Here is a 16,959-nt window from a genome sequence, read left to right as displayed (position 1 = left end):
CCTCTTCTGGGAGGTATTCCTTCATCTCTCAGGTAGTGGTCCCCTCCAAGCTCCTAAAGCACTCTCTCCAGGTTTCCATTCAGAGTGATTATCGCTCTAGCCTACTTACTTTACCTTCCTGTCCTTCTTCATCAACTACAGGCTCCAAAAGCCTTAACCATGTGTTTGGCTACTCCTTATTCCTAAGACTTACTTCTGTGCCGAGCACAAAGTTTTATCAAATTAAATCTTAACATGGCCCCACAACAAAGAATCCTTCCTAACCTTCATACTGTCCCAAAGATGGTTTCTCTAATATTCCTACCCACTAGTATGAACCCCCATGGAACAGGGTATGAGGAGACGATTGGAGAAAGGACTGGAAAGAAAAGGGCAAAAGTCTTTGCAGAACCTCAAATATCATTCTAAGAAGATTAGATTTTAGAGGTTTCATGAGCAAGGAAGTCACAGGAATAAGATCTGTGTCTTAAAAGCTATGGAGAGAGAAAAGGTTATATTTCAGGGTAAAGACTGGACATGGAGTGGCAAGTGAGTTGATAATTAAAACGCTGCCAGAGACAGATTATTAAGATCTGGCCTTGGGTGGTAGCAGTGGGGATGGAAAGATGGACAAAACATGTTCAGAGACAAAACCACATAATGAAAGCAGCTGCCTATTCTGAGTAGAACTGGCTCTGCACATAAAATAAACTTCCTCCAAATGGAACTCTGTAACCTCTTTGCATCCAAGATGGTCCTGAGGGTGAGACCACAAGGAAGAAAAGAGCCTCCTTGAGCAGGGGAAGAAAAAGAAGCAAGTCTAGGATTAGCAAAGGCCAAATCCCAGGCCACTGAGCAGGGCTGCAAGGAGAGTGAGCTCAAGATCTTGTTGATGGCTGCTGACTGCAGAAACCTTAGTAAAGAGGTCACATCTGTTCCCTGAGCAGAAAGCTGCCTTCCTGGGTTGGGATGGCTCTAGCTGGCTTTAACACAAGAGGTTCTGATCATTTTTAGTGATTGTATGTTAAGGAAAATTATCCAAAATTTGGAAGGCAAAAAGATGATTGTGTGACCACTTAAAAGTCATGTTAGACACATTGTTTACTATGAACTAAGTCATCTGACACTCTTGGGAAATGGAATTTTGTTATTCTTCACAAACGATTAGGGCCCAAATGTTTTAAAACTCTGCAGTAAGAGGTTAATGTGTAAAAAACTAAGAAGGTATATACCTTTAATACGCAGATAAAATATTTCCAAAGGTTATATTTTCATTAGGGTACTAACCAAAACAATTTTATTTCAGCAATCCTTCTTTCATTAACAATCTAAATCTGATTTCTCAGCTATTCTACTTCTGCTGGTTTCCACATTAATCAGTTAAACAAAACCTGACACATGCTCACTCTATGTATGAAAATTATGCCCTGACGAGGTACACACATTCACAAGCCTGCCTACCTCACAGGAACCAGATGTCATGAGGCAAGAGAAGCCTGACACCCAGGCACAGGATGCCAGTCAAGTGTTAGAAGTGGTCACTTAACGAAATGACATAATGACATACAGCTCAGGGTAGTAAAAAGGACACCAGGCAGAGAGTCAGGGCACCTGCCACTAATTCACTCTGTGACCTTGGCACATTACTCTCCTTTGCTGGGCTTCAATTTAACAATGATAAAATGGGAGAGTTGGTTCAGGTCAGTGTCGTTTTACGAACTGTGATCCTGGGAACCCTGGAAGTTTAAGGCAGCTGCCTCGGCGGGAGCGGGGATCGTCTTTGTTTGGTAAGGGTAGTGGGGAGGCTGAGCTACTAGGCCTCTTGCTGCTGCTTCAGCCAAAGCAGCTCTGTTTGGTTGTTTTTGTTTATGTTTGTTTTTTGAGACGGCATCTCGCTCTGTTGCCCAGGCTGGACTGCAGTGGCTTGATCTCCCCTCACTGCAACCTCCACCCGCCGGGATGGCAATCCCGCGCTCAAGCAATCCTCCCATCTCAGCCTCCTGAATAGCTGGGATTACAGACCCATGCCACCATGCCTAGCTAATTTTTGTATTTTAGTAGAGACAGGGTTTCACCATGTTGGCCAGGCTGGTCTCAAACTCCTCACCTCAAATGATCCACCCGCCTCAGCCTCCCAAAGTGCTGGCAATTACAGGCATGAGCCACTGCACCCAGCCAGAAGCTCTGTTCTGGATGTTACATGTTTTAAAAAAAGGGTTACTATGTAAACTTGATGATTGTCAATTAAGGTCCCTTCCCACTCTGATATCCTAAAATTCCATGATTTTATGGCAATTGATCCTGGGGAAAATACAGAAACAAAAAATATCTCCTATCACCCTGTGCCTAAAAATAACACCCTATAAGGGGTTGAAATAAGTCCCTAGCAATTGAGTATGAATGAGTGAGGAGGGGGACAAGAGGGCAGAGGAAGGCTGAGAAAAAGACAGAGACTAAGGGCCTGCTCCTTTTGCAAGTGGAGACTGGGTACGCCCAACGCCAGAGAGAAAACCCTCTCAGGGAAGACTTAGCCTCACTGGCATTATCAAGACTAAAGATTTGGACTCTAGCCCCTGGCTCTGTCACATAAAGGCAGATTCCTTCAGTTTCTTCACAGTACGGTTTCTTGAAGGTAAACTGCTTTGCAAACTGTTGAGTACAGATTTGAGAACCTATCAGAACAATCTTAGTCCTAAAATCTTTTGTGTGTGCATGTCTCCACTCCTGCCAGGTCCCTGGAGGAGACTTATCACGGTTGAGGAGTACAGACCCTTTCCCTTTCCTTCCCTGTACTTTGGAGTTGGTCATACAAGTAGGGGTTATTGCTTGAAATACTCTCTCTATTCAACTTTGAAAAGGACAAATATACTTTTCACTAGGGACTCTGTTCCATGATCACGATGGAAACATAGCTTCTAACTCAGTGCTTGGATCTCTGGGCTCTATATCTGAGTTCTAGAGAAGTTGGTTTGAGGCACAGAGTGCAGAAACTCTCAGGAAAATACACTGAAGGCATGGAAGACATTCCTATTACACTCAGGGCACCAAACGCCTATTCTTGGGTACTCCCAAACACTCTACCCTCCTGGAAGGGCCGTGGCCAGAGGACAGGGAGGCAGTATGATACTCAGGAAACAGCTTACCTTACAGCTTAGTCAATGGGGTCAGGACTCAGTTCAAACTCTAGCTCTTTCAGAGACTAGATATGTGGCTTCAGTAAATTCATTCACTTCACTGAGCCTCAGCTTTCCCCTTTGGAGCTATTAATAGCTTAATGAGTTATAAAGATTAAGGGAGATAATCTATTTAAAGTACCTGTCACAATACCTGGCACACAGTATGCACACAATAAATGTTACTTCTACTCAAGAGGGAAAGGACAAACTAGCAAAAGTCTGAACGTGATTCACATGATAGGTAGGGAAGACTCGGGGATGAACCCCAGCCAGCAGCAGATCAGAGCTGTGAGTGGCTCGGAATGGGAATAGGCTGATTTGGAGAGTCTGTTGTGCTATTCTAAGAGCATCTGGATCCTGTACCAGCCAAAGCAAATCAAACAGGAGTGCTTATGGAGCGCTTGTTTCTAAAACAAGTACGGGCTGTGTTATTGACACGTGCCACAGGGGAATTGAGAGGGCTGTTGGCGGAGATGTTAAAAAAGCTGACATGCTTTCAGTTCCAATCTTTGCTACCATATCCATATGGGCACAACTGACCTTGGCTCTAGAGGGGAAAAAAACTCTGGAATGAGACACAAGAGATCTGGATTCGGGTGTGAACCTGAACCTGAACAGGTGACTTCACCTCTTGGGCCTCAGTTTTTTCTTTCCTCTTCTAAATAATTCTCTGTGTGCTGAATCTATTATCATTATTGCACTTTTTTTTTTTTGAGATGGGGTCTCACTCTGTCGCCCAGGCTGGAGTGCAGTGGTGGGATCTCTGCTCACTGCAACCTCCGCCTCCTGGGTTCAAGCGATTCTCCTGCCTCAGCCTCCCAAGTAGCTAGGATTACTGGCACACGCCACCATGCCCAACTAATTTTTGTATTTTTAGTAGAGACGGGGTTTCACCACGTTGGCCAGGACGGTCTCAATCTCTTGACCTCGTGATCCTTCCTCCTTGGCCTCCCAAAGTGCTGGGATTACAGGCATGAGCCACCGCGCCCAGCCCATTATTGCACTTTTAAATGATGGTGATATGGTTCAGAAAGATTAAGCTAGTACTGGCAGGAATCTGAATTGGGGGTCATTTGTCAAGCCTGTAGTCTTTCTTCTCTGTTGCATTATCTCTCAATGTTAAATGAGGGAGTAGGATCAGGTGAACCAAGGCATTTCTAGATGCAAATTGAATGGCCTGAAATCATAGTTTCAGGAGCATTCTAAATACTCTAGGGCTAGACAAAGCCTGGCTGGTTAAAAAGCCTTCTCATAAATGAAATCCTCAGTACCAAAGGCAAAAGCTAGAGTACAAACACAAGAGCCAGAAAAAAGGGGCCAATGAAATTTCAGAAAGCCCTGAAGAGGCACTTGGAGAATACAATGCCTAACTCATTTTTACAGATGGGGATATGGAGGATGCAAAGAGAAATAGCTTGACTGGGAACACCCAATGAGTGGGTGATAGAGCACAATCTGGGTCCTATGTCTCATGGTCCCTCTCTCACACTTGCTAGCTACTCAGTTTCCAACCTTCTAGGCCATTATGATCTTCTCTTTGACATTTATTTTCCAAATGCTGGGTGACAGGCAGGTCACTGCCCCTGCAGCATACTCCCAGCCACTTCTAACACCTTACTATAGATAGCGGCTTTTTGTTTTTAACTGTTCCTGCTGCAGGCTTAAGCAGGACCGAAGTTGAGACTTCTCTTAGGTCCCTGTTGACTCTTTAATCTCCTTGGACCACAGACCAATGCGCCTTTGGAGACACAGAACAGGAAGAAACATCAGCAATTACAGACCAACTTTCTACCTCATTCCCTGTTTGTAGAACTGAGGAAAAAGAGGCCCAGGTATAAAATGCTTTCCCAGGTTTGAGTCAGTAGAACAAGGTTAAGAGCCTGGATCGCCACACTCTCCTACTTCAATCTGACACTCAACACATGGTATCAGAATTTATTCCAATCACTAGTGATTGAACGCCAAGCCAGGCCAGGTATTTTCTTCATCTACTAGCAACACAATCACTATATAAAGTAGGCATTATTATTCCCATTTTGTATATGAGCAAACTACAGCTCAGAGAAGTTAGTCACACAGAAAATAAATGTCAGATCAAGGACCCAAATCTTGGTATTAAGAATACACACAATGGTGGGAAAGATGCAGTTACTTCATCTTCCTAAAGACCAGTTATACCACAGATATCTTTTATCTTTTACCTCTTGCCCTATGTACTCAGAATTGTTGACTCTTGACAGTTTACGTTAATTGGGGATATGGGAGGTGGCAATGAGGGGAAGGATGGATAGTGGAGACTCAAATAATACAATGACAGATAATTCCAAAGAAGCAATTTCTGCTTTGTGTTAATGGGGTAAAGTAGCTTTTGAGCACCCCCCAATCTGTCCCATTCAATAAGACCCCTTTATTCATCTCTCACTCATCTCAAGGTTCTAGAACCACCAACGCTCACAGACCTTGGTTTCTTAAGCTGTTGTTATCCAGCTTAGATTTTGCTCTCTTGGCCATGTTCTCAGGCTCAGGACCCTGTCTCACTGCCACAGCCAAAATCCCTAGAACTGCCTTCCAGTTAATCTAACCTACAGGTCCCTCTCCTGTTTGGCTGTTCTTCTGCTCTGGCCTGCTGCTCCAAAGGGACAAAAGGATCTTCTTTAGTTTTAATGAAAACTGGGGAAGGAAGCAGGGGAACCCGGGACCTCATAGAGCCCAGAGCCCTTTGCATGCAATTCCTTTCCCCCAAGCAAGCTGGAGGTTATTGCTTTGCTATGACAGCAATCCTCAAGCAAGCCAGCTGTTTCTGGAACCAAAGTAATAAAATATGGCCAAAATCCTTGGGTGGAGAGTGAATAGGAACAGCTGTTTCTTACATGAGCTGCTCTGGCAGCCTCCCCCACAGATACCCGCTCCTGCATAGAATTCTCTAGGAGCCATCTGATGATTACACTGGCAGACAATGAGTCTCCTGCCCTTTCTAAGCTATCAGGTCCACTCTGGTCAAACATTCATCCCCATACCCTGAAGGACAATGATGCACTGCTACTGCTCCTAGACCTTCTCAGACTCTATCCCAGGTCCCTATCACTGTAATTACTAACATTAATAGTCTTGTACATTTGTACACTATCCAATGGTTTTATATAGCACTTATCTGAAATGTGCTTTACACAGTACGCTGGGTAGAAACTATTATTCCTTGTTTATAGATGAGGAAACTAAAGGCCACAAGTAAGTCACCAGCAAGCCAGGCATTGCTCAGAGCCCCTCCTATCTCAATGTTACCTATGGCATCTGCACTGTAAGCCTTATTTAATGGAATCAAATCTCTGCTTAGAATTTCAGTTGTAACAGGCAAAAGAGGTGTTCAGAATGGTCCCCCAAAAGCCACTGTGAAGCCTCTGAAGTCCATGAGGCGGGCAGCGGTCTCTTCTAGCTCTGTATCAGGCAACCTTCTGCAGAAGCCTGGGAGGCCCTGGCTTGCCATGTGTCACCTGACTTCCTGCTACACCACCCCCGTATGTCTTACTCAAAGCTCAGCCTGCCCAGTGCTGATTTGGGGCAGGCAGGAGCCAGGCTGCCGAGCACTATGGGTCTAGCCCTAGCACCCTCTCTACTGGTAACACATATACATTGTAGGCCACTTGTCTTCCCTATTGTTTCTGAATCAGGCCCCCTCTGAAGTTTGATACTTCTCCAGAGGCTACTGTATCAGAAGGAGCAAACTGATAGTCCACTGGTATAGTCAAGCCTGAAGAATTGTTTGGTTTGGGGTGTATCCTGCCTCAAAAATCAATGAACGAATCCTTAAGAAACTAGAAAAGAGCAAACTAGACCCAAAGCAGCAGAAATTAGAAAATAATAAAAACAATAAACAAAATAAATAAAACAGAAAATAATAAAAAATCAATGGAAAAGAAAAACAATGAAACCAAAAGTTGGTTCTTTGAAAACACCAGCAAAATCAACAAACCTGTATCTAGACTGACCAAGAAAAAAAAAGACACAAATTACCAACAAATTAGACAACTTGGGTGAAATGGAAACATTCCTAAAAATACACAAATTATCAAAAGTGACTCAAAAAGAAAGAGAAAATCTAAGTAGATTTAACAAGTAAGACATTTGAATTAGTAATTTTAAACTCTTCCAACAAAGACAAGCCCAGGCCCATGTGGCTTCACTGATGAATTCTATCAAACAATTAAAGAAGAAATAATACCAATCCTTTACAAACTCTTTCAGAAATCAGAGGAGGAGGGAACACATCAATTCATTCCATGAGGCCACCCTAATGCCAAAAGCAGATAAAGACCTAAGAAAACTACAGAACAATATTCCCCAGCAAATCAAATCTAACTCCATATAAAAAGGATTATACACTACAACCATGTGGGATTTATTCTAGGAATGTGAAGTTGATTTAATATCTGAAAATCAATTAATGTAATGTCAATGTAGAATAAAGAACAAAGACCATAAAATCAACAAAATCCAACAGTCATCCATAATGAAACCTCTCAATAAACTAGGAATAAAAGGGAACTTCCTTAGCCTGAAAGATGGAATACTTTCCTCCTAAAATTGGGAACAAAGTAAGGAAGGCTGTCTGCTCTTATCAATTCTATTCAACGCTGTACTAGAGATCCCAGCTGGTACAATTAGGCAGGGGAATTTTTTTTTTTTTAATGGATGTCAGATTATGTCATTCCTCTATTCAAAACTCTCCAATGTCTTCCTATTTAACTCAGAATAAAGCTCTCCATGATCTGGTCCCTGTCTACCCTTGTGACTTCTCCATATTCCTATCTCCCCCTTCGTTTACTCCATCTGTAGCCACACTGGCCTCCTTTCGTTCCTTAGAATCAAGAAGCACGCTCTATGCCTAGAAAGTTATTCCCCCAAAGATACACATAGCTCACTACTCCAGTTCTTGCATATTTCTGCACAAATTTTATTTTCTGAGAGGCCTTCTTTAATAATCCAGTGTCTCCCTATTCCCTTACCCTGCTATTTTTCTTCAGATTTATTCATTTATCTGCTTTCCTCTACTAGAACGTAAACTACAGAGAGAAAACTATTTTATTCACTGCTACACCTCAAACACTTGAAACTGTGCCTGGTATATGACAGACACTCCAATACTCACTGAATGAATGAATAAATGTGTATCTTTAAAAAGAAAAACGTATATAGGAGAATGAACAAAAAGGAGGAGTGGGGGACTACTAGCTCAAGAGGCTGAGGAGGACCAGGGTTTTAGGTCGTGGGGAAAGAGCCAATGTAGGATATCATAAAAAAACTTGGTTTTCTGAAGCCAGATTCTTCTGGGTTCTAAGCTTAGCTCTTCTGATCACTGCCTACACGTCCCTCTCTAACTCTCAAGTAATTTATAAAATAAGAATATCACCACCTACCTGCCAAGTTGCTATGAAAATGAAATATATTTATGTAGAGCATTCAGTATAGTGCCTGATAATATATAGTAGATACTATAAATAATTAACATTTTCTGATAACTCTAGCCTTCGAGAGGAACCCAAAACTACCACAGAAATTACCCAGCCCCACCCTCATCTTACTGAGGGACACCGATGTTTGTGGAGGTGCTGCTCCTAAATTAAGTGGCCTCCAGACTGTTTTTTTTTTTTTTTTTTTTTTTTTTTTTTTTTTTGAGATGGAGTCTCGCTCTGTCGCCCAGGCTGGAGTAGAGTGGCGCAATCTCAGCTCACTGCAAGCTCTGCCTCCCGGGTTCACACCATTCTTCTGCCTCAGCCTCCCAAGTAGCTGGGACTACAGACACCCGCCACCACACCTGGCTAATTTTTTGTATTTTTCAGTAGAGACGGGGTTTCACCGTGTTAGCCAGGATGGTCTCGATCTCCTGACCTTGTGATCCACCTGACTCGGCCTCCCAAAGTGCTGGGATTACAGGCGTGAGCCACCGCACCCGGCCCAGACTGTTGTTTTAACTTCTTCTTTCACCCCTCCCCTTTCAGTCAGCTTTCAGCTCTCACCCCTAGATGGTATTAATATAGCAGCTCTTCTCCCTTTTTTGATATTCTTCTTTTAATCTTATGGGGTTTTAGAAACCAAATGCTAAACTTGTTACAACAACACATAAAAATAAGAATAAATTAGCACTGTGCAAATACTTAAGGATGACAATGCTTTACTTCCCTCTTGTTTTTCAGTTGGACTCTGGAAAAATGAGGCTGTTAGATAAATAAGCTATTATATGGGTAGCTTATCATATATAAATGTATATATTACACACTTATTTACGTGGAATCATTCATATTTTAAAAGTTAATAGTGGAGCTTTTTCACAGGGCAGTTGTTACAGGAAGCATATAAGATCCAAGCTTGGCACCCAGGCCAGGGAAAGGCCAGAAGCTGTAGAACTTTAGATTAACAAGGCAAAAAGAAGTGGCAGCAAGAGCCTGGATATTCAGAGTAGGAGGGAAGGTAGGGGTCAAAACCCTCTGTGCACTCTCAGGCAGACAGAAGAACAGAATGTCCATTGTTAAAACACAGTGCGAAGAGAATGGCCCCCATCGTTGGTGAAGGGGGAGAACAAGATGGTAGAAAAACTGGAATGACCATGGCCTCCATAAAATGTGAGGCTACAGCACAAGAGCCTTTTTCACTAGCAGTAAGCAGAGGCAGGCAGGGAACCTAGGGCCAAAAGAGGAATAGCCTTCTTCAAGAGATGACAGCAGGGAACAAGGCAACATCTCAGTGGAGTGCTGACTCCTGTTGGGATGGGCTCTTGGGAACTGCTGTAGTATCCTATACCACGGTTCATGAGTGCACTCAAACCTGCACTCTGCAGCACACATATTGCAAATCGTGGCTGCCTGTGCTACCTGGCTTTGTCATCTCTGCCCTGGAATCCCTTTCCTTATGGAAAGACTAAGCTATGGGTAGGGCCCACAAAAGAAAGGAGAGGAGGAGAAGGGCACAGAAGAAGATTTACAGTGAAAATTTCCAAAGGAAAACCCTCCCGTTTACTTTTGGGGAATGGGGCGGCAAACAGGTCAGGGACTGGGACGCTACAGATACTGCTATATTTTGGATGGTGGACTCCTCCAAACCTCTTGCTGAAATCTGATCCCCAATGTTTAAGGCGGGACCTAATGGGAGGTTTGGATCGTTGGGGGCAGATCCCTCATGAATAGATTAATCCCCTCCCTGGAAGGAGGGTAGGGGAAGTGAGTGAATTCTCACTCTCTTTGTTCCAGTAAGAGATGGTTGTTAAGAAGAGCCTGGCATCTCCCCTCTCCCTTTCTTACCATCTGATTTCTACCCACAGCAGTTCCCTTTCCACCACAGTAGAAGCAGCCTAAGGCCCTCACTGGGTGCAGACACCCAATCTTGAACTTTTCCAGACATTCGAATTGTGAGACAAATAAACCTTTTCTCTTTATAAATTACTCAGCCTCAGGTACTCCTTTATAACAACATAAAACGAGCTAAGACAGACACTTAAAATGCTTTCTTCTCACTTTCTTGTTTCGTTCATGCTGCTTTACAATTCACAAAGTTTTCCAACTTGCATTTCTCATTTGATTCTCTGTAACATACCTGCATGGTAGGAGTACACACATGAGACGTGAGGGGACAGGGAGGCACTCCAACTTTACAAATAGGGAAATGAAGACTGTCCAAGGGCACATGTTGAGAGAGAAGATAAAAACCTAGGTTTCTCAACTTCAAGCCAGCACTCAGGTCCTTACCCTGTACTGGCCCAAGTGTTTATGAGATCCCATGTGTTACAGACGTATTCTTCTTCTTGTGGTCACTTTTAGCCTGGGCCTCTGCCTGCTTGAAGGTTCTTCCTATCTTTCAGTCTAGTAGTCCCCCTCACTAGAAATACCACTGCTCAGAGGGACCCCTAACTCCTACCTGCCCTGTTCAGCCCCTCAACTGAATCTCCTTTCTGAATCCCTAAGTAAGTAGGCCTTCTTGAACTTTATAAGAAAAATCAGAATTAGAGAGGGAGATTAACAGCCCAAGGAAGGTCAGGTCTGGAAGAACAATGGTATTTATGGTCAGACTGACCTGGGTTCTAACATCAACTTTATAGATTCCCAGGTGTAAACCCTGGGCAAATTATTTCAGTTCCTGAGCCTCAATTTCCTCATCTATAAAATGAGGTTTCAGAGCAGGCTGTGGTGGTACACATCTGTAATTCCAGCTACTCGGGAGGCTGAGGCAGGAGGACCACTTGAATCACACGAGCCCAGGAGTTTGAGACCAGCCTGGGCAACACAGTGAGACCTGTCTCCCAAAAACAAAAATAAAACCCCCCCCAACACACAAAAAGGGATTTTGTCTAGATTGAGATCAGTAACATAGTAAGTTCTTAATGCGTTGATTTTCCTTCCTTCTCACCATCTGTCAGCTTCCCCTGACATCCACTTCATAAAACCCTAATCACTCCACTCTCACCATTATTCATACGACATTTTGCAGAATGGAAGAAACTACAGGATTTTCTGGAGCTGACCTATGAGCTTGGCAGATCACAGTAAAAACTAAAGCTAAGAAAGTCTCTACGGGGCCGGGCGCGGTGGCTCACGCTTGTAATCCCAACACTTTGGAAGGCCGAGGCAGGCAGATCACCTGAGGTCGGGAGTTCGAGACCAGTCTGACCAACGTGGAGAAACCCCGTCTCTACTAAAAAATACAAAATTAGCCAGGCATGGCGGTGCATGCCTGTAATCCTAGCTACTCAGGAGGCTGAGGCAGGAGAATTGCTTGAACCCGGGAGGCGGAGGTTGCATTGAGCCGAGATCGTGCCATTGCACTGCAGTCTGGGCAACAAGAGCGAAACTCCATCTCAAAAAACAAGTCTCTAAGGGCTGTGAGGTCATGTTAAAGAGCTTGTGAGAGGACAGGTATAGCCGCCAGGTCCCAGGATAGCCCCCCACCTGCCACATCCCAGCAGAAAGCAGCTAGCAGAAGCAAGAAGGAAGCAGACCTGCTCTGCCTTATTCATGGCAAATGATCTCAGACATTCTTGTGGCAATTCTAGGAGAGCAGTCTCAACCCTCCCAGTTCAGAAGGTTACCTGTGCAACATCCAATCTTTTAGACATGGAGTAGGAAGATAATCACTTGTAAGTTATCTGTACTAAAGGTAAAAACAATCCCCAAACGAGTTACCCTCCATGTTGGCCCAAGCTTGCCCAGAGCTTTCCCAGGCAACCTCACTCACCAGTAACAATGATGAGCTTAGCCAGCTGTTTCCTCCTTTGGGTTACAGGGTCAGCACCACCTGCCTCTGGGAATAGGGCTCACCTACAATAGAGAGAGAAGTCCATTAGGGGTGCTGCTCAGAACAGGCAGCAGGCATTCAAAATTCCTGCCCTCACACATTTTGCATCCTAGCAAAAGACAGGTCAATTATTTACAGTATATAATTTCAAGTAGTGCTAAGTGCCATAAAGAAAAATAAGGCACGCCTGGCGCGGTGGCTCATGCCTGTAATCTCAGCACTTTGGGAGGCCGAGGGGGATGGATCACCTGAAGTCAGGAGTTCAAGACGAGCCCGGCCAACATGGTGAAACCCTGTCTCTACTAAAAATACAAAAAAAAAAAAAAAAAAAAATTAGCCAGGCATGGTGGTGGGCGCCTGTAACCCCAGCTACTTGGGAGGCTGAAGCAGGAGAATCGCTTGAACCTGGGAGGCGGAGGTTCCAGTGAGCGAGATCGTGCCACTGCACTACAGCCTGGGTGACAAGAGTGAGAATCCATCTCAAAAAAAGGGGGGGAGGAAGGGGAGGGAAGGGGAGGGAAAGGGAGAGGGAGGGAAGGGAAGCAAAGCAAGGTAAGGAAATAAAGAATGACAAAAGGTAAGGGTGAAGTCTATTTTAGATAAAATGGTCAGGGAGGGGCCTCTACAAAGGGTCACATCCAGAGAGATTTGAATGAAGTCTGGGGTAAGACATGAAAAGATCTGAGGGAAGAGTGTTCCAGGGAGAGAATAGCAAGTACAAAGGCCCTGAGGCCTTGGTATGTTTAAGGAACAAGAAGACTAATAATATAGCTAGAGTGGAGTCATAAGGAGAATGAGGTACATACAAGAGACACAAGAAGGAATTTGTTCTGTATTTTACATATGAGAAAACTAAGGCTCAGAGACTAGGTTACTTGCGCAAGATCAAAATAAGTCAAGTGGTAAAACTGGGAGTCAAACTCAGGTCTTCTGGACAACTCTAACTCTGTCTCACTTGTGGCCCAGGCTCCTCCAGGCTTAGATCACCTGGATTCTAGCTGAGACAAACTTTCAAGGACTCTGAGATTTATTTCACATTTCTGTGCTCAGCTCCCTCCTCTGCTGGGTGAGGATGGTGAAGAAGAGAAATCCCTATATATTCGTTCCCAGGAATGTGGAATGGAATAGAGCAGACTCTAGAATAAGAATAGCAGCACATACCAGGCACTGATGTAAACCTTTTATTTGTATTAACTCATTTAATCTTTACAACAATCTTGTAAGGTTGGTATGTTATTTTACTAATGGAGAAATTGAGGCACAGAGAAATTAAGTACATTTGCCCATTGCACAGCTAACAAGATGGTGGAGCTGGGATTTGAACCCAGAAGTCCAACTCCAGGGCTTGCCCTCTTAATCTCACATTATATATAACAATTCTCAAAAACAGAAGGCAGGAAACATGTTCTCTTGTTCTAGTTTACATGGCTCAGAGTTCCCCACCCATCTACACCCAAGCCTGACATCCTCTCCATATACTTGCAGTCCAGGCTTTTTACTGAATACAAGTTGAATGGCTCCTGAGTCCTTCAGCCAGGTGGTTCCAGAGGCTTCTCTAATCTCTAGCTACTGTAATCTCAAAGCTATAATAACAACGGCCATTTAATAGGCATTTACCGCACAGTTGGAAACAGACTAGGTACTGGCCTAAGCACTGTTTTATTTCAGAGGGAATGAAAGTTGCTCCAAGTCATGAGTGAAGGGATTGAGGGTGCGGGGGGCCTCCAGGTCTGGAACAAAGCAGCAAGCACAAGGAACCAAAGGATCTCTGCAGCTCTGGATCAAAAGACAAAGGCAGAGGCACCAGGGAGTCAAGAATGGACACCTCCAATCAACAAGTCAACCAACTCAATTCATCTTCTATTTCCCAGCCTCCATGATTCAGAGAATGGCATAACCATTCTCCGGGGTACTTAGACTCCAAATATTCATGCTCTCAACCCCTCTTTCTCTCTCTTCCCCATTCCCACAACTGCCAAATCCTTGTGGGTTTTTTTTTTCTCCCCCTCTAAGAGTTCTACATCCAAATCATCTCCCTCCCTCCCTCCCTCCCTCCCTCCCTCCCTTTCCTCCCTCCCTCCCTCCTTTCTTCCTTTCTTTATGTTTTGCAACAGAGTCTCACTCTGTCACCCAGGCTGGAATATCCTGGCGCGATCTTGGCTCACTGCAACCCCCGGCCCCCCGGGTTCAAGCGATTCTCCTGCCTCAGTCTCCTGAGTAGCTGCGATTACAGGTGCCGGCCACCATGCCCAGCTAATTTTGTATTTTTAGTAAAGACGGGGTTTCTTCATGTTAGTCAGGCTGGTCTCAAGCTCCCAACCTCAGGTGATCCACCTGCCTTGGCCTCTCAAAGAATTCTTTATTCCCTACTATGTCAACTTCCTCTTGGTTCAGGATCACATTATCTCTTGCTTGCACTGCTGGCATATTTCTTGAAACTTACTGACATTACAAAGGCAGACTTACAGGAGTCTCTTCCCTGGTCTCTGTTTCACTAGTCTCCCCTACCCCTCCTATTCCAATCCATTAGACCCACACAGCCAGACTAATGGTCCTAATGACACTTCCCTGCTCAAAAAAAGTCATGGCTCCCAGTCACCTCAGCCTTGCTCTTAGGTATGCCAGTATCTGGTCATCATCCGCCTTACTTCTACCGTGGGCTTTCCAGCTCTCATATTTTTGGTCCACACTGTTGTCTCACTGGAATTGCCCTTCTTCATTTACACACATTCAAACCCTTCTTAATTTTCAAGGCCTAGTGAATCTATGACGTAATCCTGAACCCTTTTCTTGCCACTCTCTCTGCCATGTTTTTTTTTTTTTTTTTTTTTTTTTTTTTGAGATGGAGTCTCTCGCTCTGTCACCCATGCTGGAGTGCAGTGACACGATCTAGGCTCACTGCAAGCTCCGCCTCCCGGGTTCACACCATTCTCCTGCCTCAGCCTCCTGAGTAGCTGGGACTACAGGTGCCTGCCACCACGCCTGGCTAATTTTTTGTATTTTTAGTACAGACGGGGTTTCACCGTGTTAGCCAGGATGGTCTCGATCTCCTGACCTCATGATCCGCCCGCCTCGGCCTCCCAAATCTGCCAAGTTCTTGAAACATCTCCGGCTTGTGGGTATATTCATTTCTGCACTCACCATCAGCTAAGGCCTCAGGAATACAGTACCCCTGTTCCCCTTCTTCCTTGTAGAAATTCCTACTACTTCTGAAGAATGGAGACCTAGTCAGTTATAAGATTTCTTTTTTTTTTTTTTTAAGATAGGGTCTTGCTCTGTTGCCCAGGCTGGAGTGCAGTAGTGCAATCTCAGCTCACTGCAACCTCCGCCTCCTGGTTTCAAGCGATTCTCCTGTCTCAGCCACTCAAGTAGCTAGGATTACAGGCACGTGCCACCACGTCTGGCTAATTTTTGTGTTTTTAGTGGAGACGGAGTTTCACCATGTTGGCCAGGCTAGTCTCCTGACCTCAAGTTATCTGCTTGCCTTGGCCTCCCAAAGTGCTGGGATCACAGGTGTGAGCCACCACGCCCAGCCAGTTATAAGATTTCTGTTTCTATTCCTCCTACTTAGTCTGGATCTACCTCCCAATAAGAGACCTGAGTTCTAATCTGCATCTCAGATTCCCCATCTGCAAAATGGGAATTCCTATACTGCCAACACAAGGATTTTATAATCACATGTTTTTATCAATGTGGTAACAGGTGAGGAAAAGGGCAGAGTTAGGATGGGAGAGTCCCAGCCAGGTCTTTTATGGTTCTTCTTGTAAGCTGAATAACAGAGTACATACATGAACCTTCTATCTAATTAGTCAAAAAATATTTCCTGATACTAGCTGTACTGGTTGGCTTTGCTGTGTAAACAGCTCTGAATAAGGGGTTATGGAGGATGCACAGATGATTGAGAACAGTCCTTATCCTTAGGCACTTGGCATTCAGGATGGGACTATGATGTCCCACAAAAAATTACTAATAATAGGCAGGATCTAACAGTTCAAAGAATGTTATGTATTGTGGAAGTGAAGAAACAAATCAGTCTGACCTGGGTTTGTCTCAGAAGCTTCACAGAAGAAGCAAAGATTTAAGCCAGGCCTTGATGCAAGGTGACAGAAAGACATGGGCTGCTACTATGCCTCAGGCACACGGCTGGGTGTTAAACTGTTAATCCTTATGATACCCTGTGAAGTAGGTGATGACATGTCCATTTTACAACCAAGGTAACTGAAGACAGGTGAGGCTAAGTGTGCCATTCAAGGTCAAACAGCTAGTAAGCAACAAAGCTAGCATTTGAACCCAGGTCTGCTTTACTTTACTCCAGAGCCTGTGTACTCTCATGATCTGCCTTACTTATTACACAGCAACATGAAAGAAGACCAGAAAAACTAAAGTTCTTTCTAACCTCAAAATTCAATCATTGAACGGGGGATGTGGAGGGAGTGGGGGTTGTGTGCTCACTGCTGCTATGTCTTCTCCGTAAGATTGTGACCTTATGGCAGGATTAGGGTCTTATGAACTGTCATATGGGTCT

General features: G+C 44.3%; 1 protein-coding gene across 8 annotated transcripts in view; it reads right to left on the bottom strand.

Moving 5' to 3' along the window:
- RALY (RALY heterogeneous nuclear ribonucleoprotein) overlaps window positions 1-16,959 on the bottom strand; it is a 90,974-nt gene that overhangs the window by 40,906 nt on the left and 33,109 nt on the right. For 4 of the 8 annotated variants that reach the window (XM_011528695.4, NM_016732.3, NM_007367.4 and 1 more), the window contains exon 2: window positions 12,375-12,457. The exons of the other annotated variants lie outside the window; for them this stretch is intronic. The gene's annotated coding sequence lies outside the window, so the exon portion shown is untranslated. The remainder of the gene's footprint in view (window positions 1-12,374; window positions 12,458-16,959) is intronic. 8 annotated transcript variants of the gene reach the window in all.

The sequence above is a fragment of the Homo sapiens genome, chromosome 20, assembly GCF_000001405.40.
Source record: "Homo sapiens chromosome 20, GRCh38.p14 Primary Assembly".
NCBI classification, from domain to species: domain Eukaryota; kingdom Metazoa; phylum Chordata; class Mammalia; order Primates; family Hominidae; genus Homo; species Homo sapiens.
Note: the sequence above shows the minus strand (reverse complement) of the source record. Positions and strands in the feature narration are given on the sequence as shown.